The sequence below is a fragment of the Homo sapiens genome, chromosome 4 (assembly GCF_000001405.40).
Source record: "Homo sapiens chromosome 4, GRCh38.p14 Primary Assembly".
NCBI lineage: Eukaryota > Metazoa > Chordata > Mammalia > Primates > Hominidae > Homo > Homo sapiens.
In genome coordinates, this window is record NC_000004.12 from 54654021 (window position 1) to 54680573 (window position 26553).

At 43.0% G+C, this 26553-nt stretch overlaps 1 protein-coding gene across 8 annotated transcripts in view, besides 1 other annotated feature; it reads left to right on the top strand.

Annotated features, from left to right (window-relative positions):
- Window positions 3222-3516: a silencer, noted in NCBI's record as "tiled region #7950; K562 Repressive non-DNase unmatched - State 20:ReprD". NCBI's record gives its function as "represses a minimal TATA promoter and a strong SV40 promoter by Sharpr-MPRA in K562 cells {active_cell/tissue: K562}" and the evidence as "EXISTENCE:reporter gene assay evidence [ECO:0000049][PMID:27701403]".
- KIT (KIT proto-oncogene, receptor tyrosine kinase) overlaps window positions 3937-26553 on the top strand; it is an 82759-nt gene continuing 60142 nt past the window's right edge. For all 8 annotated transcript variants that reach the window (NM_001385284.1, NM_001385290.1, NM_001385288.1 and 5 more), the window contains exon 1: window positions 3937-4061. In NM_001385284.1, coding sequence (NP_001372213.1) covers window positions 3995-4061 — 67 coding nt within the window. In that variant the 5' untranslated portion in view covers window positions 3937-3994. The remainder of the gene's footprint in view (window positions 4062-26553) is intronic.

Consider the following 26553-nt stretch of genomic DNA (forward strand, 5'->3'; position numbering starts at 1 on the left):
TCCTGTGAGGGCAGCATCTGTGTCTTGTCTAACTTGGTATCCCTGACACCTAATACACTACATCTGACACAGAGATGTTCAATTAATACTGAATGAAAGCTGGAACGAAGACCATACATTATCTCCTTTCAGACTCACAAACTGTGAAGTGGTTATTGTTAGTATAGAATCTAACCGGGGGATTGTATTAATCTATTCATTTCTTCAACTTTATGGACAAAAGACTTTCAGATGATTGCTGAAAACCAAGAAAAGCTATTAAAAAGCAAACTTGAAAAGGATTATACTCTTGTTGTAGTAATTCCACCCCTGGTTAGGAATGCATACTTAATAACTAATCAGAAGCAGGCAAGTTTTATTCACCAAGACATTAATCATCAAGTAATTTATGATAGTAAAAAAATTGGAAAAAAAAGAGAGAAATGATTAAACACCCAGAATTATGGTACATCCATAAAATTGAACATTATACTGCCATTAAACAGTGTGTTTCCAAAGGATTTTTAGTGATCTGTAATAATGCTCATGTTATTTGTGAAAAAGCTGGATAGAAAACTGAAAATATACCAAGATCTTAAATTATGTAAAGGGAAAAAAACCTCACACATAAATAGAGAAAAAAGAAAGGAACATATTAAAACAAACTCTTCAGTGATTGTATCTTGAGTGCCTTTTTTGTTTTTTATAATTTTTGGTATTTTCCAAATTTTCTACAATAAGCATCTTTTACAGTCAGAAATATAATAAAATATTTTCAAGTTCGAGATTTTAGCTGTGTTAGTTGTATTTGTGTGGCATTATTACTCTTTCTTCTGTTGATGGTGCATCAGTTTTTCTTTGGGGATGCACCCTTCCCCATCTCAGGCCTCTGGTGTGAAGTGGATCCCTGACCCCGGCTTCAGGGGTGGGCACATGACTCAGACATGGCCAATCAGCATACTCCATCCCTCTGGCTCCTTCCCAATGGGCACATGACTTAAGCCAGGTCAGTGAGACTCGGTTTCTCCCATAAACTTTTACAGGAGATGTTTATGGGGGCAGGAAAACTCTACTTCCGTTGGTACTAGTGAGCTGTAAGCCTAGAGCTGCCCTGAGTGTATACAAGGTTGGCAAAACAACACAGGAAAGTATTGAGGATAAAGGTGGAGGAAAGTGTACGTGCACTTGTGCACACATGCATCCACACACACTCGCCCTTCAAGTCCTGATAACTTTGAGTCCTTGGATCTAGGAAAGTCTGAAACACTATTGTCCCTGGACTTTCTGGTTATAAGAGCCAATACATTTAGGCTTCTTTGTTTGCTTGCTTAATTTAAGCTGCTTCTATAAGTTGCAATCGAGAGTCCTTGCTAAAAGAATTATGAAAACAATGAAATACATAAAGCACAATCCCTGAACATGCCCAGGACTATCACAAAATACAGTATAGAATTAATCCATACATCCTACCTGAGATATAAAACATTTCCATCATTGCCAATGTTCCATTGGACACTGCTGATCTATAATATAGTTCCTTATATATTACAGCATATATGTCCACTCATAGTGCCTTATATATATGCTTCCTTTCTTTATGTAACAGGCAGTGGGTATTATTAAAAACAGCTAACAACCCTAAAGGTACAAGTACTGGAGGCTCTCTGTTGTGGCCAGCATTAAAATTTTAATTCCTGGATCTAAGGAGATTTAGCGTGTCTCAAGGTTGGGCTGGGAGATATTTTAGGGTATGGTTTTTTTTGTAATCAGTACAGAAGGATTTCAATATTGTGTCAACCAATAAGGCCAAATTGGTGTGTACTGGCTGAACATAAGCTCTGTTAGCAGATATTATAGTTTCTTACTTGAGTACCTATTTTCCCTGCTGGACTGTGAATTCCCCTAGACAGAGACTTTGTCTTACTCATTTATGTGGGTCTTATGCCTACCTAGGTGCTCAAAAGATATTTGCTGAATGAAAAACAGGAATGACGGTCCAACATGGTATAACTCCCTATTCAGTTTTTTTTTTTCCTGATAGAAGTTCCGTGCCTAGAATTAAATTGCAATATGGTCTCTTTTCACCCACTCTTTTGAAGATGTTATCCTCTCCAATATCAGCTGATTGAAGAAGAAAATTGTAAATTTTCTCTCTCAGGCATAATGTTGATATTTTAACTCATAGTGATTTTTTCTCAATACAAAATGAATTTTAGAAATAAATCAAGATCCCAGAAACTTATGATTGCTTTGAGTGGTATCTTTTATCTGTCATCCTAAGAAAAACATGAGATCTGATGGCCCAGAGCACAGAGACCTTTGGTATTTCAGTTCTCCTACAGCCGCATGACTCGAACCTTTTGCTGGGAGATTGGGATGTAGGTCCCCATACTTGATTATAAGGACTGTGAGGGCAGGGGCCACATCTGCATATCTGTCTATTAATAATAGTACTCCTGGTACCTAGCTCCTCCTTGCTTCACAGCAGACACTAAACAAATGCTTGCTGAGTGAGTAAATACTTACATTTAAAGAGAGGCAATTATACACATTGATCATTTGATCACCCTCTAGCACTGATAATTTTTAAGTGATTAGCTTTAAAAATCATTTTTCTTACATCAACCTGGGTCCTCACACTATTAAACAACAGGAGAGCTTTCAATATTAAATGAAGTGGGGCAGCTGGGCAACTGTAAATTTTGGATGATACTTCAGAGAAGAGTCTAGGTGTATCTGTTCTATCCCTTTTTCTGATGGGCATCTGCCATTTATTTTTCCATTCTTAAGCTCTCAGGAGGGATGTCTTATTAGTTTATCAGAATGCATAGGGAAAGCTCATCTTTCTTGGAGTAGGTCTTCCAATAAGTGTTCAAGCCCTGGGTCTTCCCTCACTACAATAATAAACATACCTGCTCTACCCTCCTCACAAAGCTGTTATCGTGAGCATGAAAAGACGAGTCGCTGTGGGGAAGAACTATTAACCCCTATACAGATACTGTTGTTGCTTTCCGTTCAAGGATCCACCATGAGACTGTGGGTAAGGCACTTTCTGGGCAGTGAAATCGGGCTTAAGAGAATCATTGTACTTTTATTTTGCTCCTGGGACCGGCAAGGGCAGTTAAGAGCCCTAGCCCTAAAACTGTCGTCTGTTACAGAGGCAGAGAAATCATTACTGGGGTTGGCAGCGTTGGGGGGAGGGGGGAAAACGTGTATGAAAACCTGGGCTCCCAGAGCAAACTTCGCCACGCGCCCTCCATCGCCCCTGTCTCCACACAAGTCCCGGCAGGGGCTTCTTGGGCGGAGGCCACGCCGACCAATAGGAACCCACTGTGTTCCTACAGGTTACGAAGCAGGTGGAGAAATTGAGCAGAAACAATTAGCGAAACCGGGCTCAGCCTTTACCGCGGTGCCAGGAGCTCCTAACAGGCCTGGAGGGGAATGTCGGGGCTCAATTTCCTAACGCTCCCCTCCCCATCCCCATGCCACCTCCACGAGCAGCGGCGTCCAGCCTCCTCCCGCCCGAACGTGCTCGAGGGGCGGGCAGTCGACCTTTATTGTCTGGGGAGCACCTGGCAGGTGGCGGGCCCGTGCCCTAACGTGTGCGTGGTGCCCAGCTTCACAAAGCGAGCGGGCAGCACCTCCTTGGTCCGGGAACGGCCTCAGCCTGGCCGTCCACATCCCAGGGGTGGAAAGGTGGAGAGAGAAAGGGGCTCCGGAGTCAAGAGCGGGGAGAGAGGGCGCGCGCGCCCTCCTCCTCCCGGCGGGCACGGCCCCCCGGCATTAACACGTCGAAAGAGCAGGGGCCAGACGCCGCCGGGAAGAAGCGAGACCCGGGCGGGCGCGAGGGAGGGGAGGCGAGGAGGGGCGTGGCCGGCGCGCAGAGGGAGGGCGCTGGGAGGAGGGGCTGCTGCTCGCCGCTCGCGGCTCTGGGGGCTCGGCTTTGCCGCGCTCGCTGCACTTGGGCGAGAGCTGGAACGTGGACCAGAGCTCGGATCCCATCGCAGCTACCGCGATGAGAGGCGCTCGCGGCGCCTGGGATTTTCTCTGCGTTCTGCTCCTACTGCTTCGCGTCCAGACAGGTGGGACACCGCGGCTGGCACCCCGACCGTGCGACTACTCGGCGAAGCCTGTGCCTGGGAGGGTGGTACCCGCCAGGGTGCATCCGGAGAGAGGACTGCGGGCCCTCAGTGCCCGTGCGTTCCAGCCTCCGGGGAGACTCCAGGTGGCCCTCGGACTCTCCGGCGCCCTGCCTCGCTCACCTGCGCGAGGAGACCCCAGCTGCTGGTGGTGGGGGACGCGAATCCGGGGTTCTTCGGGAATGGGGACAGCAAGAGGGGGTTAGGCGTGAGCGAGGCTGCAGGCTCCGTGCGAGTTTGGGGTGGCTTTTGTGCCGACGTTGCGCGGGGGGCGGAGGCGGGGGGCTCAGGGGTTTGCACCGAGCGCCTTCTCTTGCCGTGCGAGGCGCGGCCGCAGCTTCCTTTTGTTAAAAGTTGCGTGTGTGTGACCGGCGCCCGGGAGGACCTGCCTGCAGGTTCTCCGCCGCGCTGAGGGCAAAGTTAGAGAGCCCTTTCTCTGCTCTGCGGCTACTGCCTTCCAACCGCAGGCGCTCTTTGTGCCCAGAGCTGGGGACCGACCCGCTGCCGCCTCTGCTCGCGGCGCCACCCGTGGAGACCAATCGAAGGCTGCGGCGTTTCCCCGCCTCCGGGTTAGGCTTTTGCGCTGGGAGTGCGCGGCGTGGGGCTGTTGTGGGGCCGGACTCCCGCGAGCCTGGAGGTGGTGGCGACAGGGACAACTTGGGCAGGGCGTGTGGAAAGCAGCCGCTAGGTTGCAGACTTTTTGCTTTCGTACATCCCGTGCTCGCCCCTTTCTGCCGCGGCGCCGTTTCATTCCTGCCGCGCGCCCCGGGGCGGCTGGAGGCTGTGTTTGCCGCCTGCTCCGGGAAGGCAAGGGACAGCGTGCTGGGACTCTGCGTTCCCTGACTCCAACCGCCTAGCACGCCGGCCAGAGTGCCCGGCCTGCCTGGCGGGTTCTGAAAGCCCCTAGTTCCCGGTGTCTGCGACCTGTATTCGCAGGTCCTGTTTTCTTCGGAAATTTTTGAGATTCGTGACCGCCCGCCTCCCCGCCCCCGGGACTTCTATACTTCAGGGCTGCCTGGGGGTGGGGTGGGAGATGGCGTGGAACTTTCTGCAAATCCTACTCAGTTCTTAAAGCTATAACAGAAATCCAGGTATATCCGCGCGGGAACTGGGTCTTAGGTGAAGGATTTGCAGGTTGCTGGAGCCCCTTGGTCAGATTCCTGCCTCCCGTTCCCTTTTTTCCAGGTGTCGCTGGTGCGGGCGAGTGCAGGTCGCCCAGCTCACCCCTGAAGCCCTGCTATCTCCCAGGTCATTTTTTAAAACAAACCTTTAAGGTTACCCTGATGATGTAAGGATAGAAAGTGAGTCTTAGCTGGAATCAAGCGCTTGAAAGGAAGCGGCGCAATGAACGGTTTTGAGACTGTCGACTACCGGTCAGTTTCTCTATAAAGTCTCCAGGCGCAGTCTGCAGCGTCCTGGACTTGTAACTATTGTGAGGGCTTTCCTGTGGGGGGCAGAGAGGCCTTGCATCTGGACCCCTGTGCAGCAGGAGGGGTCAGCAGGGGTCACGAGGGAGTGTTCGGATTCTCTGGAGGATTTGATCACCTAGCTTAAAACAACACATCTGGTCTTTATGTTTTTGTGCCTTGACCTTTTTAATATCAGTTAAGCTATGTGAACTAGAACCTAGTAGGAGACTAGAAAGACCACATCGAATATCTCCCTTTTAAAAAATTAAAAGAATCAATGGTTTTCTTCTCCCCAATAGATTTTTGGCAAAGGGAATTTTAAGGTCTGTCTCCTGGGGGGGCAGTGTGGTGTAACGACAAAGCCTTGCTCTGTCCCCTGGGTTCTCGGTTTCTCTGCCATTTCTTGGCTGCGTGCCCTTGGCCAGGTTGCTTAGGGCAGGTTGCTTAAATTCTGGGAAACGCAGTGTCCTCCAGAGTACAAGGAGGCATCTGCATCATGAAGGATCCTTTGGGTCCAGAATTCTCCTCCAATGTTCTGAGTGTAGACTCAGCACTCTTTTTAACTATTCCCCTGGCCCCTGTCTGCCTCTTTGAAATTCCTCTGCCTCTCCTGCTCACAGGGAAGTCATAGAGTATGGGTGCATCTGACCGGTCTGCCCCTGACTGAAGCAAGGAGCTGTGGCTTATGCTTACTGCCCTTCAATTCCCATATATTCCTCTGCATTGCCCTTTGAGGGCCCCCGCCCCCCAAGTATTACAGCTCCTGTGCCTAACAGGATGAACCTGCTAGGAATAGTGAATCATACCTTCCCCGTTTCGTTCCTGCAGGTGTGAGGCTGGAGTCATTCTCAGCAGCTGGACACAAGGCACTCTAAATTATTATCCTGCTGGAAATAAGAGACCCCAGATAATTCATTTATCCCTATTCTGTTTTTTCCCCCACTCATTCCCATTTTTTTTCTCATGACTCTGTAAATCATGTAATGCTATGCATTTATAGCATGCTTTCTAATGGGCCTTAAGTTTCGTATGACATGTGTGGTGTACATAGTTGTTGCTCTTCAGTTGGAAACTGTGTGCCAGGCCTTTTGCTTGGGGCTTTACCTATTTCTAGTAGTCTCAATGAGCCTAGGAAGTAGTACTATTATTACCCCTAACATTTTACAGCTGGAGAAACTGGCTAAGGATAAGCCCTAAATCATCAGTGGTGAAGCCTGATGAGATTGGCTGCATGTGCCCAGCTCTATAGCCATTCACATGATTCACCAGAATCTGTTGTAAGACTCATTCAAAAATATTTAATGAGTTTTTACTATGTGCCAGGGATTGTTGGAAGTTCTGGGAATACAGGATGGCCAATGTCACTACCTTCCCAATTTTGGTGAAAAATATTTAGAATTGCGTGTCTTATGAAAGCGGATTATTTGTGGAGGGAGGATTAATTAAATTTTAGCTTGGAGGAAGGGCTGTAGGCATTTGACCCTGTGGTATGTTGGCTTAGTTGTTAGCTATCTCATTCCAGTTAGCGTCCCTCAGAAATGAAGGTAAGCTGTTTCTAAAAGGATGATGCAAGCCAGTTAAAAATCCATCTCCCACTCCAAAACATAAAAATGGTCTTGTGCATAGGTGTGAAAGAGAACACCCCCAATAATGGCTGATGTCATTGGCTATTTACCCTGGATAGCATGGTGAGAAATAATGACAATCTACCATCCAAAGCCATTTTTTCTCCCAAAAGAAATTCTCATCAGAAATGTGCCAAGTATTCTGCGGGCTTCCCTTGGAGAACATTTATGTACAGATGTTGTGGTGGTGATGAATTTTGCTGCTGTTGTTGACAGCCCTTCGAAGTTACCCTTAGGGTTTTGACTCATTTCCTCAAGTCTCTTCCAGCTGATTAAAGAAGGACACGAGGAAATGAACCTCGGTGTCTCTAGCGGAATTCTCAGAGCTGGCCTGCAGTGTGGGGACCCCTTCAAGGTAGTGGTCAAGGCTGTGGCAGCTTTTTCTTCAGAATGAATGTAGTTTAAGAGTTGGCAGGCTAGGATGTGGGAAATGCTTTCTTTTGCTGCATTAATGTGCGGTAACTTTTAAAAGTTGAGATTGAATGACATTTGCAGGAATCCAAATATGCAAATTTCATGTGCAGTTTTGGTAACTTGAATAGATATTGCCACAGCTATAAGTCCGGATTGAAGAAGGCCTGGGGAAGAGTTAGAGGAGGTAAAAGTTTGCCTGGAGGGCAAATCCAGTGTAAATCTTTGTTGTACTTAGAGAGGAATTGAGTTGAGTCATAGAGAGGAATTGAGTTGAGTCGGCTTGGCCCAGCAGCTCTGATTTCTGACATTTTTTGGATGTGATCATACAGCTCATCTTTTGACCTAAGACTCTTAATAAGTAAAGAGCAGTTGTAATCTGATAGCCCGAGGAGACATGTTTTCTTTGGCCTACATGATGCTTTTTAGAAAACATTGAGGCGATATTAAACAATCTAGAGATTTTTTTTAAATCAAGATCTCTATTTCTGTCTCCTCTTTAAGAATTGAAGGTCATGGCCCCTGTAGATGAGGCCTGTGCTCTTCAGGTTGCATTAGGCTCTAGGGCTTTATCCTGCCATCCCTTAGGCATTCCCCACTGGGCCCTGGTGAGTGCAGGAATCCAAATATGCCCCTGGGACCAGGCAGATGACAAGTGGGAGGAGACAGGCCGGCCTACCTTGTGTTGGTCTGATGGCTTCATGACTGACAGCTTGATGGCCTTAGAGCAAATTGTTTAACCTTTTTGAGCTTTCATTGTCCATCCTAGTTTTGCCACTTATTAGCTCTGTGACTTTCGGCAGATTACTTAACCTCTCTGTGCCAGTAAATGTGTTGCTACATGTAAAACTTTTAGAGTGGTGCCTCATAGTACAGGCTCAATATGTGTTAGCCATAATTATCGTCTGTAAAACAGGAATTATTATTGTCCCTAAAATGGGAATAATGCCTACTCTTTTAAGATGATTGCCCTAAAGATTAGAAAGGCATTTTTTTTGTTTGTTTTAAAGACAGTATCTTGCCCTGTTGCCCAGGCTGGAGTGCAATGGCGCAATCTCGTCTCACTGCAACCTCCACCTCCTGGGTTCAAGCGATTCTCCTGCCTCAGCCTCCTGAGTAGCTGGGATTACAGGCACCCGCCACCATGCTCGGCTAATTTTTGTACTTTTAGTAGAGATGGGGTTTCACCATGTTGGCCTGGCTGGTCTCGAACCCCTGACCTCAGGTGATCTACCTGCCTCGGCCTCCCAAAGTGCTAGGATTACAGGCATGAGCCACCATGCCTGGCCGACAGTTTTAAAAATAAGCTTTAATTTTTTTGGTCTTGTTTTATTTAGCTTTTGATAAGAGTTAGGAAATCACTAGTCCTAGAGATTGAATAGATCTTGAACTTTTTTTTTCTCCAGGGGGGAAAAAAAAAAACTACACATCTTGTAAGATTCTCCAACATAACATTTGTGTCTGGTACTTTTCCCATTCATCTTATGTTTTAGCTTTCATGCTTACATTTTGGTTATGACACACTTTTGTTAGACATCTTCCCATGCATACCTTTCTGACAGGTTTTCAACATTTTTGCAAAATTTAAGGTTTAAGCCAAATTATTATTCAGGACATGTGGCATCAGTTAATTACGAGCTTGGGCTCTGAAATTGACACGCTGGATTTTTATTCCAGTTCTGCCTCTTCCCTGCTGTGTGCTCTGGGACAAGACACTTAACCTCTCCTTAAGCTTCATTTCCTCATCTGTAAAATGGAGATGATGACATAGGGCCCCTGCGAGGATTAAATGAGATTCTGCATGTAATATGCTTAGCATAGTGCCCCGCATAGAGGAAGTGTGTGGACTCCACTATCAGGCTGATTTTCTTATGTTCCCCTTTCAGCTTTGCCTCTTAGAAAAAAATTGAAAACGTGTAAACAGAATATGTAGAGTGGTTTTTTTTTTTCGTATTAAGATGAAGTTGTTAATTAGTGGTAATGCATGTTTATCTGCTTGGCTCTTTGTTTAGCCGTATTCTTGGGTTACTTTCCACCAAAAGAGATACAAATTTCTTGATAAAAGTTTAGGTTGGGGGAATGTCTGCAAATGGCCATTTTCTGTAGGTGAATAAGTACATGTAGTTCACCTAGGGTCCATGAAAGCAGTCAAGGAGCTTTTCCATGACTGCTTTCACTAGGAGTTCAAGGACCAAGCTGAACTTGTCCATTGCCCCAGGCTAGACACAGCGGTTAGTGTTCAGTAAGTATTAGTTTAACATCTTTTCTATTCTCCAGCACTTACACTAAGCTTTGAACATAAATGGTCAGTAAACATTTTGGATTCAGTTTAACAAAGGCTTATCAATCCCCATGCCTTGGTCCTACGTTACAGGCTGGGGGTGGAGGAGGGCCAGGGCAAGAGCACAGCCCCTGATTCGAAGTAGAATTTGGTTTTCTTAAGTGTAAAGTGCTCTGGGCAGGATTTTCAAGGAGATGAGCTTAAATCTTGATGGGCAGGTAATAGAGATCAGGAATCAGTAAGAGCATCCACATAGGAGATAATATTTGAGATTAATTTCTGAACCTTAAAGGAAGAGGGCAGTGTAGTTGTGGCTTCAGCTGAAAAAAACTACAGTACAAGGAACAAGGCATTAGGATCTTACTTCAGGATTATCAAACCTTTCTATTGGTATGATGGCTGGGGGTAGGGAATTGGCTGGGAAGGTAAGACTCCTCTTACTAGCCTCAAGGAGCATGGAGGGAATGTGTATTTAGTGCTGAGTTTGGTCTAGGTTATGAAGAATGCTTTGAAGTCAAGGCTAAGGTGGACTTGACCCAGGAGTGGCCCCCCAGGCTTTGCATACTAGTCCAGGGCTGCCTGTTCCACCATTCTGTCCAATTAGACATACTCCCCAGCCTGTTCCAATAGTCTGACGAAGCGAGAGGCCAAGCCCTGCCTTAAAACTTGGACACTCCCTTGCTGTGGGCAACCAAGACTAAGGGAGAGTCTGTTTTTATTATTTATTTATTTATTTATTTATTTATTTATTTATTTATTTATGAGACAGGGTCTTGCTCTGTTGCCAGGCTGGAGTGCAGTGGCACGATCATAGTTCACCGCAGCCTCCACCTCCTGAACTCAAGTGATCCTCTCATCTCAGCCTCCTGAGTAGCTGGGACCCCAGGCGTGTGCCACCACACCGGCTAATTTTTTTATTTCTATTTTTGTAGAGAATAGTCTCGAACTTATGAGCTCAAGCGATCCCCCAGCCTCAGCCTCCCAAAATGCTGGGGTTACAGATGTAAGCCACCACACCTGGCCTGTTTTTTTTTTTTTTAATAGTAAAACATACATAAAATGAAATTTACTACCTTAATCATCTTTAAATGTATATTTCAATAGTGTTAAGTACATTCATACTGTTGAACACTTTCATCTTGCAAAACTGAAATTCTATACCCATTGAAGAGCAGCTCCCCTCTCCTTCCCCCAGCTTCTGGCAACCACCATTCTACTTTCTGTCTCTGAATTTGACTATTCCAGGTAACTCGCAAATGCAGAACCATACTGAATTTGTCTGTTTTTTGACTGGTTTATTTCACATACCGTAACATCCTCAAGGTTCACCCCTATTGTAGTATAAGTCAGAATTTTCTTCCTTTTTAAGACTGAAAAATATTCCATTGTATGTATAGACCACATTCTGTTTACCTGTTCCTCCTTTGATGGACATTTGGGTTGCAAACAATGCTGTAATGAACATTTGCATGTAAGTATCTAAGGGAGATTTTTCGTGGAGACTATTTAGGAGGGTTAAACTCATGGCTGCGAGCTACATGTTGGGGAGCTGGGCAGAAGATGGGCTCTTTAGATTATCTCTGAGTGAAGGGGTAGTGGACCTGGGTATTAGGGTACATGCTTTGGAAAGAAAGCGCCCTTAAGAGACACGAGGAGGATAAAGGTGCAGGTCTTCTCTCATTCGGCGTATTTATGGGCACCTTCTGTGTGTCAGGCACTGATGAGATTGAGGGGAAGGAGAACTGGAATTATCATGGGTGTAGGTAACTGGGAGTATTGTTGATACTATGGAATTAGTGGAAATAAAGCCAAGAGGAGGGGTGGCCTATTTGAGGGAGAGAATATGATGTTGGACTCTGCTGGGTTTATTCATTGATTATTTGTGAGCTGCATTTTCTTGAAACTCAATTTCACAGACATGGAGGGAAGACGTCAATGAAATCTTAGGGTCAGGTCCCTGTAAGAAATAAAACTAAACCCCAAAGTCACAAAACATGGCTCTATAATATTACGGTAGCATTGGGGATTATAAAGAATGGTATGTTAACTGTGAACCAGTCTTATGGTGAAAAGTAAGTTTTCATGAAAAGGAGTGTATACTAGGAAGAGAATCCTGTATTCTTCTCTGCATTAGGCCATGTTTAAGGTATGTTTTTTGTTTTTCTCAGAATAAAATGGCCATACTGGGTATAGAGGAGGACATAGAATTGACGAAAGCTTTGGGAAATAGGTCCTTTGAAAGCAACTTAAAGAAATTGGATTTATTAAGCCTGGAGAAGATAAGGTGAGGGAAGGTTTAGTGAATGACAGTCTTCAAATATTTTTAGTGTGTGAGTGAAAAGTAGAACAAAATGAGAGTCATTTAAATTGCCCCAGAAGGAAATTGAAAATTTTTTTGTTTTTGTTTTTTGTTTTTTTTGTTTTGTTTTGTTTTGAGACAGAGTCTCACTCTGTCGCCAGGCTGGAGTGCAGTGGTGTGATCTCCGCTCACTGCAGCCTCCACCTCCCGGGTTCAAGTGATTCTCCTGCCTCAGCCTCCCGAGTAGCTGGGACTACAGGCGCACGCCACCATGCCCAGCTAATTTTTGTATTTTTAGTAGAGACGGGGTTTCACCATGTTGGCCAGGATGGTCTTGATCTCTTGACCTCGTGATCCACACACCTCGGCCTCCCAAAGTGCTGGGATTACAGGCGTGAGCCACTGCACCCGGCAATTTTTTTTTTTAAGGGAAAATTCTTTCATTAGAAGGGTTGGCAGAGACTTTATTCAGTTATAGGGCCTTTGCTGGAGCTGTGAAGAAAACCAAGTAATTGTCATTTTGAAATGGTTCTTAGGTCCTCCCCAACTCAGTTGGTTTGATGGCCCTTTAAGGGCCTGCCTGAAATCGTTTGGGAATAATTCAGAAATGGGAAAATAACCAACCGTTTTTCTTTCCTCACTGCCTTGGCTGTGGGGCAGAGTTTCTCATAAATGCTGAATAGACTCTAACATAATCCACTACTATAGTCACAATTTCGGCTATATTGATAACAGCAAGTAAAGAACCCACAGCCTAAAAATGGGTTATTGATCTGTTAGGTGTGGCGGGATCTAAACACAGAAGAAATTGTACGGTGTGGTAGCTTAAACTGAGTGTCAAAATAAGACAAAAGGAAGCTCAAGGTCTAGAGAAATCCATAATCTATCATTTAGCCCTACCCTAAGAATCGCTGTGCTATAACGCAGCATGTAGGCAGAAAGTCTGTAAGCATGAAGGACGGCTCCCAAAGTCCTTTTCTCTTGATTACTCAGGGGTGGATTGGTTACCCACCACTCTGACTACCCTTTCCATCTGTCCTTTCCCTCTGGTCATTTTGTGGTCATGGCTCAGTGGCACGTTTGAGATCAGCCCATGGTCCAGTGGGGAAGGTGGTAGAAATGACATTGCAATTCAGCAGCTACTGCTTGATAACATTTTATTAATACCTGTCACTTTGAAATTGATGAGTCTTAAGATGGGATCCTTGCCTTTAAGGATCCTAGGACCTATAGGAAGATGGTCCTGGGTAGGCGCCAATGTTACAGGATTTGTAATAAGATTTAAGTTAACAATTCCAGTCCTATTCATTACCATTGGTTTGGAGGACATAGGCATCACTTCTTGAATGGCCAATTGAAAGGAAGATAGGGGCCTGAATTAAATCTTAAAAGAGTGGGGTGGAATTTGGTCAAGATGTGAAGAGGAAAAGCAAAGGTTAGAGTTAGCCGGAAGGCTCTGCTCCCGCCGACAGAACGTCTGTAGAGAGTAGCGGAAGATGAGATGGGATAATTTTTAGGGCACCTGGATTTTTATTCTTCAATAATTGAAGTCTTTCCTGCAGTGCTATATGTGATGAGATTTTTGTAAATGTAATCTGGCTAAGTAGTTGCCTATTCAGAGAAATAACTTTTAAAAATGGAAAAGTATGGATATCACTTTTGCATGTATTACCTGTGTTGTATGTTCGATGCACATCCAGTATGGATATGTATTTTGAGTTGTTTTTAAGTCCAAGGCTAATTCTGCTCCCTTCTCCCTACCGACCTTCCCCACTCCTAGCCAAGATTAGAGATTTTGTGGGCTCAACTTCTGATTGTGGCAGTAGATGACCTTTCATTTGCTTATTAACATATTTTAAATATTTAGCAAAATAATACACCTTGTTTATGTCAGTTTATTCATTGAAGCAAAGATAGCAACAAACAAGCCTGCAAACCTTGATAAGGAGCCTGTGTGGTTTGGAACATCTTGAGATTCTTCCCTGGATCCCCCCGAGTCCTGTTTTAGAAACCTATTAGGGGCACACTGGTGGCTGCCCTCCCCAACCCAGGGAGTCTTCGGAGGGAGGAGGAGGTGGCTGTTTGTGGTGGGCAGAACTCTGTCACTTAAGGAAGAGGCGTGTCTGATAGCACTTGCCAGTAGTGAATGCCTCATTCTTGACCAAGTAGAAAAAAGATAAGAGGGAAAATGAAAAAGGTGAAACGGTTCTCCTTTACCTTGTATTTTAAATTGCTTAGTGAGGCAAAATATCCACCTTCATTTGGGTTTACCCCAGGTAACTCATTTCACAGGGTGTTAGAACATTTCAGAGGGTGTTAGAAAATTCCAAACAATGGCCGGGACTCCCAGTAATTTAAATATAATGGCCTATGCGGGTTCTTAAGCAGAGGAATTAGTTAACAGAGTTAGAACAAAGGAGAGCATTATCACAAAGAGCTCTGGAAGTTAATGTGTCTCTTTTTATTGGAAAAGAAGTATTTCTAGAACAGGATTCAATTGGCTTCTGGGGAAAATATTTACTGGAGATTTTAGAAGTGTGAAAGGTGGCAGGAGACGTTGGCTGTCTGTTATTCTACTTGGCTAGTGCACACTTAAAAATAAAACAAGACTATGTTAAAAAGATCTTGAGAATTCTACTTGGAAAGACTGAAGTAAAGATAGTACAGGTACTTTTCAAAGGATATAAATTTTGGCTTATAAAGTATTTTAAATGCAATTCCATCCCAACTTTCACAATGCAGACTTCCTTTTTAGTGGCTGATGTTGAAAGAAGGTACCTTAGAAAGATTTTCCATTTAAGAAATGGTTGATATTGATATTTATTTGGCTGATAAAACACCACAAGGACTGGTTTTTAGAATTTTTTGTCATTGTTAAATCAAGCCAGGATTCTTAACCTAAAATATGTTAGGATAGCTAATGAAAATACTTAATTGGAATGTTTAAATGTTTCTCTACTTATTTTAGTATAGTCTGTATATGTGCAGCTGGGAAATAGTATATACGTTTTTAGCCGCACCAAAAAGCATCACTTTGATAAAAGAGGACCCCCCCCCCTTGCTTTTTTAAAATAAACCAGCATATGTAGAAGGGTTTGTGAGTTTTTTTAGTAGATCTGAATGTGTTGCCCAATTTACATTCCAGCATTTTCAAGGGATATTATTTAACATGATCATCTTGGTTTCAGAACCACTGCCTTTCAAAGAGTCTGGCCCAGAGCATTGTGTGTGCCTGCGAGTGAGGTGGGTCCCCCACGGGGTCTAGTGGCTTTGCGCCATACTGGCCACTGGGAACACCAGCTCTGGCGGTACAGCAGGGGTACTTAACATTACAGCTTTATTCTTCATTCTTTTGATCCCTTCTGTATCTTTAATCTGCCCTTATACCAGAAATCCATAGATTTATTCACAAATAATTATTGAAGCATCGGAGGTGTAGTAGTGAACATACCAGGCAAAAGTCTTTGTCCTCTCTTGGGGCTTATGTTTTAGTGAATTATTTTTCTCTCCAGGAGAGAGAAAAGTCCAGGAGTCCAGAAAGGAAAAAAAAAAAAAAAGAAAGATGTAATTTGAGGGGCTATCATAGAAAGCAGTTTAATTTAGACTTATTTCAGTTCCATATTGTGGTTAGTTAAGGAAGAAAGAGAAAAGAAAGGTGATGCAGAGGGTCAGAGGGTACCAGTTCAAAAAAGAGGAAAGCCAAAGAAAGCAACTAGAACAATAGGAAAAGGAGATTCAGGGGCTGGGGGAGATGGGCAGGAGTGGAGTCAGGGAAGCTTTGTGAGGTGCTTTTCACTACCTGCCACCAGTGCTGCCCTCCAGAGGGCTGAGCACCAGCTCCATCCCACCATGTCCCTGCCCCAGTTTCTGTAACTTCAGAGCAGCAGGCCTCTTGATTCAACAGGTGTTTTTGATGGAGGATTTACCCAAGAGGATTGACTAGTGATAGGTGTCTTCACTTTCAGGACCTTTGGAGCCTTTAATGTGCTTTAGTCTGCAGGTTTGGAACTGTTTGTTCTGGAATGTGCCGGAATGCTCTTTCACATCTGAGAGAGATGTTTCAGGGTCCAGGCTAGATGCTCTTTGGTATCTCTCCAAGGACTGGAGATTCTGCCCCTCTTTTTAAAATTCATTCATGTTTTTCTTAAAATATGACCGAACTCCTAACTCTTGCTAACCTTACACCTGGGATTCTTAGGCCCTCAGCTGAAGAACTTGATGAATTTCAACTTTAAAGAGGTTCTTCTAACACTTGGCCATTTCAACCAGGCTTTGCTATAAAGTCCTGTGAAATTGGGGGACTGAAAGCTAATTACTTGGATCACAAGTTGCCTGTGAAAACTGCAAGGACCTGCTGTCAGGGCTCATTAAACCCCAAAGTATGGCACCTTGGCATGCAGACTACTCTGACCAAGAGGAGACTGGAAGGCCTCAGAAGCCAGGTCTCTGTTCTTTCCTCCTGGTTCCTGCTCCCTTTTCTCCCGCAAAGTGAGTCACAGAAACCAGAATTCTTTTTCCCCAAGGCAGGTCATAGAAACTAGAACTCCTCTCTCCCAAAGCCAGTCATAAAACCTAGCAAGTTCACTCTCCCTTCTTCCTGGAAGACCCTCATTCCCGAGGGGTCCTGCCCCATCCCCAGGGGAAGGGGAATTGTACAGAGCGGGCTTGCTGGGTTTCACCACTCTGTCCATCACTGTTAGGCCAGATCCTTTGTGTCCAATCACTTTTCTGCATGGCTGTTCATTCATCAAACCTAAATATAAAAATAAAGGTTTTCCCTGGGGAAAAAAATATGACAGACTTCAGTTTTAATAATAACTGTTGTAATAACTGTCGGTCTGTTTGACACGGTACCATTTAGCCACCATCAGCCCTACTGCATGTCAAGTTTCAATGCTCCTGTTACTGTAGCTGGCCTGGGTGAGGTGCCAGCAGAGAGGTGACAGGGTGACTTCATCCGGCTTTTTGCGTTTTCACTTTAGAGTGGCCTTTCACAGTTCCATGAAATGATAAGCTCTCCAGTTTCAAATGAAGGACGCCTCAAATTGAGAACTGACACCATTGCATTCCTCAGGATGGGAAAGTTCCTTCTCCATCAATTCTTGGGCACTGGAGTAGGACTCTTGCTGCAGATGGTATTGTTCTGGTTCTCGAGAAGGAATCCAAGATAAAGGCTGTCTGGGGATAAAAGTGGTACCCTCTTGGAATATGGGCAGGAAGGCATCCCTAGTGACCATAGCCTTGGTTGAAGGTATTAAGGAGGAATCTTGAGGTGCTTGTCTGGGTGTCAGTTGACAATTTCAATGAAATTAGCAGCATTAGGTCTATAGGTGGCTGCTTAACTAATTATGAACTCAGCTGCTTAAATATATTTGCTCCAGGTTTCACAATTCCTTTTATTTACAGTAATTATCACTGGTTAGCACCTATTGTTTTGGGTGAGAATTTCAGGGTCTACATTTAAGTAAACCCTATTTAAATTTATTAGTTGACTAGGGAAGGGTTAAAAAAGCAGTAAGGAGTCTATGCCTTCTAGAGTATTCCCTGGCTTGTTTGAAAATGTGTTAGCAGCCATTTTTCAATATGAAAGAACTGAACTTTAAAAAAAAGTATATTTTTATTTATGGCAACATTTCAAATAGGATAGTGTAATGAACCCTCATATAACCATCTAGCTTCAACACTTACCAATACGGCCTCTACCCACTTTATCTTCCCATTATTGGGAAGCATGTCTCAAGCATCATAGAATTTCATCTATAAATATTTTCAGTATGTAGTCCTAAACTACAAAGACCTTCTTTTCTGAACATAATGATGATGCCAATGTCAAACCCTTCCAAATAAATATAATTACATAATGTCATTGAATAGTATTCACATTTTCCTATTGAAGATACATAAAAATATAAACAAATGTATGCACATTTAAAAGAAAGCAAACAAGATCTACACATTGTAATTGGTTGATATGTCCTTTAAGTCATTTCTTCTCTGTAGGTGTTAGCCCCGTTTTGGTTAAGGAAACTGCAGTTGTCCTGTGCAGCTTTTCATTCTGATTGCATTCCTTGGTCTTCACCTGTACCATTTTGAATATTTCCTGTAAATTGGTGACTTAGACGTTTGATCATACTCAGTTTGATTTTTTTTTTAATGAGGGTACTGTGTAAGTGGTGTGTTCTCTTGTTCTGCTTTCTCTTTTTGGTGTACCTTTGGGTATTTGTGAAGATTCATATTTTTTGCTAGATTTGTATTTTTGGTTTTAATGGTTGCCTTCAGACTGATACCTTTCTATAATACCCTTGTCTGCTGTTTTTGTGGGGGCTATTTTCCATTGTTGCTACCATAATATTTAAATTAGCCAGCGTTTGTTCTTTGCTCTCTCTTTACTCTCCTGAGCTGGGGATTGGAAGTAATATTCTTTTACTTCCAGTTAATATCTAAAAGGCAATCAGCAAGCATATTCTACTTTTCGGAACTTCACCTATTCCCCATTTTTCTGATGGCTATACTCATTTTTCAGAGCATACAGCAATTATATACTCTGCTGTCTCCCTTGTTACCATCATTTAGTCTTAGCTCTACAGGTAAATATCTGTTTAATGCTGGCGGCCAGTCTTTATATCATGGCTTTCCTGGCATTTTGGTTTTCTGAAACGCACCCTCTAATAGATGCCTTATGGGAAGTAGTTCCTGAATTATATGTCCACAACGGCGAGTGTGTAGTCTGTATATTTAAAGGTCAGGTTGGCTAGTATAAAATTGCTGGCCCATCTTATCTTTGCTTGGATACCTTTATTATTTTACTGTATTGCATTTTGCCATAAAGTGGCGTCAAAATCTGATGATAATCTTATTTTCTATCCCTCAAATTTAACTTGGTATGTTTGCCTAGATACCCAAAGGAATGTTTTTCCACCTTTATTCTTTAAAGCCCACTAGTTAGTTTTATAGTATTGGCTGCTGTAGGTTGATTATTTTTTTTCCATAGACACAATGTGCTCGCTGCTTTAATGTGTAATTTTAAGAGTTCTTTTTTATTTCCTCTCCAATAAAGATTTCATTTACCATTTGTTCTGATCTTTGTTGGCTTTAGGAACTCCCATTATTCATGTTAGACCTTCTTAGCCTGTATTCTGTATCTGCCACTTTCTCTCAAATCCTTTTAACCGCGTCATAATTCATTTGAATTGAAAAATTTTCCTCCTTTCCGTCTTCTGGTTCATTTAAGACACTGTTCATTTTTATTTGCTCTCGTGTTGTCTTTACCTGTCATTTCTGAAATGATTATTTTCTTTATTTTTAATTCTTAGTTCTTTTGCCTCCATTTTTAAATCTTCATTTTCTTCAATCAACTCATTTCTGAGTTTTAAAAATTCTGATTTATGCTGTTCTTCATAGCTTCTTTCATTTAGTTAATTTCTCTTGGCTCCTTCTGAAATATTAGGTCATAGCTTTCCTTTGTGCCCTTCTGGCGTGATTTTATTGTTTACACGATGGATGTCATTCTGCTCCTTAGTTTTTCTTTAAAAATAACTATGTGGAATTCAACTGGATTCTTTTCTGTTGTTAACCGAGTTTTCCTATACTTTTAGGAGGGCCAGTGTAGATTTCCTAGCATCAGAGATTTAGGAGACTCTGTTAGTTGTTTTCATTTTATTTTATTTTATTTTTGAGACAGAGTCTTGCTCTGCCTCCCTAGTTCAAGTGATTCTCGTGCCTCAGCCTCCCGAGTAGCTGGGATTATAGGCATGTGCCACCACGCCCAGCTAATTTTTTGTATTTTTAGTAGAGACAGGGTTTCACCATGTTGGCCAGACTGGTCTTGAACTCCTGAGCTCAGGCAATTCAGCCGCCTTGGCCTCCCAAAGTGCCAGGATTACAGGCATGAGCCACCGTGCCCGGCCTCATAGTTGTTTTCATAAAGTGGTAATAAAAATATGAACTCTACTTTCCTATATCCTAAGACTTTTTTTTTGTCCCTACCCACACTGCTTACCTGCCCAGACTTTCCCTTACCTTTGCCCCTATTTCCTCATCTTAGATCTCATCCCCAGCAGCTTCTCCCCAGTGTGGGGCTTTGCCTTGGCTTGCTAATTCATAGGAGTCAGACCCCTCCCACTCCAGAACATTCTGGCACATTGGACATACAGGTGGCACAGCCCTCTCCGCACTCACTAATTAAACTGGAACTTTTTTCTCTGTCTACTCTCAGGATGACCCTCTGAGCTTTCCAGTGAGTGCCTGATAGTGGTTCCTGTAGCTGATGGTAGTTTGTCATCTAGAGTTGTTGTGGATGTTGTCCATGGTTTTTGAGTCTGCTCTCTGTCAGTTTTTATGGTTGGGGAGAGTCAATAATTATGCTGCCACCACCATCTTCCCAGAATCTATATTGACATTTTAACACAAAATTTGGCAACCTTTGGGTCAATGAAATCTGGATAAAGTCCTGTCTTGAAATCTCAACTCAGAGGTAGCTGCTTTTCAAAATGATTTGCTTCCAAAATAAGTTATTAAAAATTTGTAACTATCTGAAAACTGATTACTATGGAAATGAACACTGTATGGCCTACCTAACATTAGCTTTCTAAGCTTATTGTTTATGAGAAAATATAGTGGCTGAAATCATCCGAGTGCCAGGAAACTCACTGCTGAGCTATTATTTCTGAGAAAAATTTATAAGAACTGACATGCTTTTGTCATTATTTGTTTGGTGTGAGATTCCTTGAGTTCTGAAGGAGAGAGTGCTATTTTACAGTTTTAAAAGTATTAAATCACATTTATACTTAATATCATCTAATAAAGATAACAGCATTTCTTAATTAGGTGTATTTTCCTCTGATTTTTTCCCCCACTGAAAAATTTGCATATCTCTAATTATAATCATTTCTGGAAAAAATGCTGCTAGGGATTGACATGATATTAATTTAGATTTCCAGAAATACTAAATTTCCTTCCTCCAACCTGAGTTTTCCTCCAATTGGCCATTGATTTAAATTACCTACTAAAAGGTTACAATTTTAGAATTGACCTCTTACCCCTCTGCTTTTGGGAATGGCCATTATCCTAAAGCCATATGAAGAATAAGGACAGATTTCTCAATAGACATACTGGAAACTTTTGTTATTTAAATTCTGGAAGATAGAGTAAGATTGTTTTTAGACATTTCCTCTTGTTTTCCACAAAAAGATTGAGAAGAAGTAATTTCAAACACAGGGCTGGTCGTTAAGAATTCTTTGCAAAGGGAAACAGGCTTAATGTATTGCTCTAAGTGAATGTCACCCAAGAAAAATTAAGGGAAAAGTGAATACTCATTAAGCAAATTGACCAGCAAGCGTTCTGATGAATGTTGAAACAAATTTGAATAAACCAATTTTGTCCATTAGTGTGCTTTTAAACCAATGTGATTGTTTTGGCCTAATTATTTTCTGTTTTGCTTATTCAAATGTAGAATGGCTGCAGAATTAACTATTGCAGCAATTATCTGATTAGCAATTTAGAAAATTGGTGAATGGTATCTGACTACTCACCAAGAAATATCTGGTATTTTACAGGGCTGTGTGGAAGAACACAGACTGTCCAGGGAGGATATTTGCTGTTTTTCACTCACTACAAATGGCAGCTCAGAGGATCTCACTGGATTAGTATGGGCTGTGGATGTGGGCTCCGGGCTCTCAGATGTAGTGCACCAGATTGAGGTCTGATGTGCTGCAGAAGTTGTATTTGCCACCCGGTGTCACTATTCTGGAGTCCCGTAGCTGTGACTGGAGAATTCTGCAACATTTCCCACTTCTAAAGCTTGGGGATTCGAGAAATCTGTGCCCGACTGGCTGCCAAAGCTTGTCAGGGGGACCCAGTGCTAGGCCGATTTCTAGGTGTAAAAGCCAGGCAGATTTGCTCACTCAAGAAAATCTGTTTTTGCAGGTTTGCTTTGAGTTCCAAGATACAGATCCTGGTAAAATTGTTTGCTGCGCTAATGCCCTGAGTTTCTTGTGGTAGCTGGGTTCCCGAGTGTGGTCTGGACCAGCAGCATCAGGATCACCTGGGACTTGTTAGAAATGCAAACTCTCCGCCCCCACCCAAGAACCTGCTGAGTTGGAAACTCTGAGAGCAGGGCCCAGCCATCTGTTTTAACAAGCTCTCCAGGTGATTCTGCTGCAGGCGAAAGTTTGAGAACCACTGGCCTTGAGTGTAAAAATTACTGGGCTTTGTCACAGCTGTCAGGCTGTGCTAGTTAAAAAGTTAAAGCCCTCGTGGATTCTTCAATTCTCTTAATGTCAGAACGTCAGACCAGGGTGCAATTCTCAGTTCTCCTTGTGTCAGACTAAGAAAGATAGATATGAGTTTCGGTTAGTCCAGACAGGAAAACAGACAACTGGAGTACCATGGGACAGTGCTGCAGTAGAGGCTTCGAGAAACCTGCATGGGTGGAGGGAGCAGGGGAAGAGTGGTATTTTCAGAGGACAAATACGATTGTGTCCTACCCTGATTAAAACCTGTCAGAGACTGCCCAGTGCTCTTGGAATAAAGTCTGTCTCCGTAGATCCCTTTCAAGCCTCCAGTATCTCCTTTTGATCTCCATTTTGCACACAGCACTTGCCTCATTGTTGGCTGTGGAGTGCACGCTGCACCCCCAAAGGTGTCCAGCTCCTATCCACCCATCTGTGGCCTCTGCAGGAGCTGCCCTTCTGTCCACTGCCAGGGGCCTCATGCTTCTCCCTGGCCTCCTAGTGCACTTCACAGCCCAGCTCCCACCCGTCCTTTGCAATCTTCTCTGACCTCCCAGGGTAGGTCAGATCAGCCCTCATTGTACAGCGTGCTTGTTCGAACTTATCACATTGTAATTACCTAATTGTATAATTATTGGTTTATTGCTGATGTGGAGTTAAATATAAACTCTATGGGTGAGGGGTGGGGAATTCTTGCCCTCTTGACTGTCCCAAGGGCCCAGCACACAGCAAGCTTTATTATTGGATGAATGAATGGTGGAGCAGTCCTCATCTTTGTTGTTAGGACACATGGGCTGGTTAATATATTACATTTTGATTGAGGTGTCACCTGAGCTTTAGACCCCTCCATCCCTCCCGCCCCCATCCCCACTCTCATCCCCACCCTCGTCCCAGGAGCATTTGCCACCACCATCTCATTCTACTATGGGAAAGGCAGGTCCCTGGCACTGTGGCAGCGAAATTTCATAACTTGGTTCTAACTTGGGGTCTGCCCTGTGGGACACTAGAGAGAAGTTCTTGAGTATCAGTATTTCAGGGATATGGGGAAGGAAGAACTCCTTTGCTTTTGCAGACATTCATAATACATGGGTCAGAAGCCAGCAGCCTGGAGTAAAGGTGGCCCCGGAAGGTTTTCAGGGAAAGTGACTCTTGCCTCCTCTTTCCTCGGGGCTTCCAAGAAACACTGCCTCCTTCTGTCACAGAAGTTGATGGCAGGCTGGGGGTTGTGGGTTGTGTTTCTTCCCACCCACTTCCAAATCTATTTGTTAGAAGATACGCACTCCTTTGCCTTTTAGTCAATTTACTTTGGCCTGGTTGAAGCCAGTGTTTTTTATTCCTATTCTAGAAGGTAAAGGCATGGAAGTTGCCCTTCAGAAGCAACAGCTGTGCAACATTGGGACATTTGTCTAAAATAAGAAACTCAGCCTTGCTGATTTAATAGAAAGCTTGACAATAGCTTATAAAAATACATATATTGAGAATGAGGGCTCATGTTTTGTGAAAGATTGGGGTTTCAAGACCTAGAGGGTAAAGAGGCTGACGTGCTTAATGGGAATGTTGCTTTTGATAGAGGAACTGGTAATCTGTTCACTATTTTATTTGCACGTTGATTGATGTGTGGTTTTTGTTTTTTACATTTGAGGCTCAACATATTCTCTTATACCTATCGTAAACGTCTGCTAGATTAAGTGAATGTAATAAAACACAGTAAATTTGGGAAAAATTATAAACACAATTCCTCACTCACTGTCAGAATACCGTAGCTACCATCTGCCAGGAGTGTTGATAGCAGGAAGAACTATAATTTTGTGCTTTGATAACCTATGTTGTCTGTTTCCTTCATCTTCATCAGCTGCCATTTTTCTTCATAGCTTCAATGCATTCCATGGCTGGCTCGCTCCTTCCTTCCTTCCTTCCTTCCTTCCTTCCTTCCTTCCTTCCTTCCTTCCTTCCTTCCTTCCCTCCCTCCCTCCCTCCCTCCCTCCCCCAATCCCTGTGAGGCTGTCTCCCTGCTCCTTCACGTTGCCTTACCCCCTTCTCTTCTCTTCTTGCTGTCAAGTGCAGTAATTATAGTAGTAGTAACAACAGGACCATTTTATTTGAGTATAAAGCATTTAAAGGATTTGAAGATGGAGATTCTGACCTATTTTACCCCTATAGATGTCAAAACTGAAGTTTGTAGAGGTCAAATGAGTTTTCCCAAAGTCTCACATTGCAATCCATGCATGTCTGACTCCAAAACCCACACCTGTTTTCATAATATTCCTCTTGTTTTCATCTGCTCACCCAAGCTCAGAGAAGCACCTTAATTTCCAGTGTCTGATCCTCCTTCTAAACTTTCCAATATTGCTGAGTAAAGTTACAAAGCTGGACCCACTTTTTGTTTTAAAGCTCCTTTTTTGGAAATAATTTCAAACTTAAAGGAAAATTGCAAGATTAGTACAGAGAACTCCAGTACACCAGTTGTTAACATTTTGCCACATGTATTTTGTTTTATATACATATTTTTTTCTGAACCATTTGAGAGTAAGTTGCTAACATGACCCCCTCCCCCACCTTTGCTGTGCCCCCTTGAAGACTCACTGAAGGAGACAGCCTTGTATTATTCTATGAGAAACACTGAGGCCACCCAGGGTGAGTTCCTCTGCCTCCACCCAAGTGCAGCCTTTACCTTGTCCCTCTAGAGCTGAGGGCCCTGCTCCAAGGAGTGACACTGTGAGCTGCTCACTTGTGAGCCCTTTAAATTAAACTCATATTCTGAAACACATGCACTGCCTTCCTGGAAATTGGCTCTCTCTAGCACTTAAAAAACAGATCCTCCTCTGTGGCAGGGTAACACAAAGGCAAGTGAAAAGGGGCTCCCTGAATGTTTCTACCAACTCCAGAGAGGGGAGAAAGGAGATTTGCCTCTGCTTGTTATCCGGAGCTGTAGGTGAACTGTTCTGCTGCTGGTAATTGAAGTCTATCTGCAGAACAGTTATCAAGGGCAGTAACCTTTTTTCTAGCAATGGCCTCAGATAAAACTTGTTTTTCTTATTAATAATTTGTTTTTACTTCCTTTGGTATAAACCATCCCTATGGCTATAAAGTGACATTTTTGAAAGTGGAAATAGAAGGAAAAATGTCCTGTCTGTTCAGTGTGGGATGGAGGGGAAGGTGCAATTTTCCCTATTTGACAGGCCCATTAAAGCAGGATTTCAGAGTATGTTCACTAGCAAAATGTACTGATTTACCCATTATAATGAAAATTAGCTTAAGTATCTGAGTCAAGTATAATTTATAGCATTTTTAAGAGCTAGAAAATCAGGCCTTTATAAAATGTAGATCATAATTGAAGACAGGTTTTAAAAATGCCTTAGGGAAATAATATTAATAAAATGTCAAGACGAATGGATAAACAAAAATATAGCATATACACAGTGGACTATTATTCAGCCTTAAAAGGGAAGTCAACTTTTACAAATGATACAACATAGATGAACCTTGCAGACCTTATATTGAGTTAAACAAGCAAGAGACAAAAGGACAAATAGTGTGTGATTCCACTTATATGAGGTACCTAGAATAATGAAATTCATCCAGACAGAAAGTAGAATCATGTTGATCAGGGGTTGGAGGGAGCAGAGAATGGTGAGTCATTATGCAATATTTCTGTTTGGGATGATGAAAAAGTTCTGGAAATGGATAATGGTGATGGCCGTACAACAATGTGAATGTACTTAATGCCACTGAACTGTATACTTGCAAGGTTAAAATGGTAAATCTTATGTCATGTATATTTTACCATAGTAAAACATTTCTTAAATGCCCCAGTTGCCAGATATATGTGTATATATACACATGCACACAGATAGGCATATGTGTATGTATAAATGTTAATCAGCCTCTCACTTATCTGTGTTTCATTTGATATCATTCAAATTAGATGCCATAAGTTAGAACTAGAGTTTAGGGTTGTCACACTTTTTTATGTCTTGAAGTTTTCATTCGTCCTTTTTTTTTTTTTTTTTTTTAATGAGAAGGAGTTTTGCTCTTGTTGCCCAGGCTAGAATGCAGTGGCATGATCTCTGCTCACTGCAACCTCCGCCTCCCCAGTTCAAGCGATTCTCCTGCCTCAGCCTGCCGAGTAGCTGGGACTACAGGCGCCCGCCACCACGCCCGGCTAATTTTTTATATTTTAG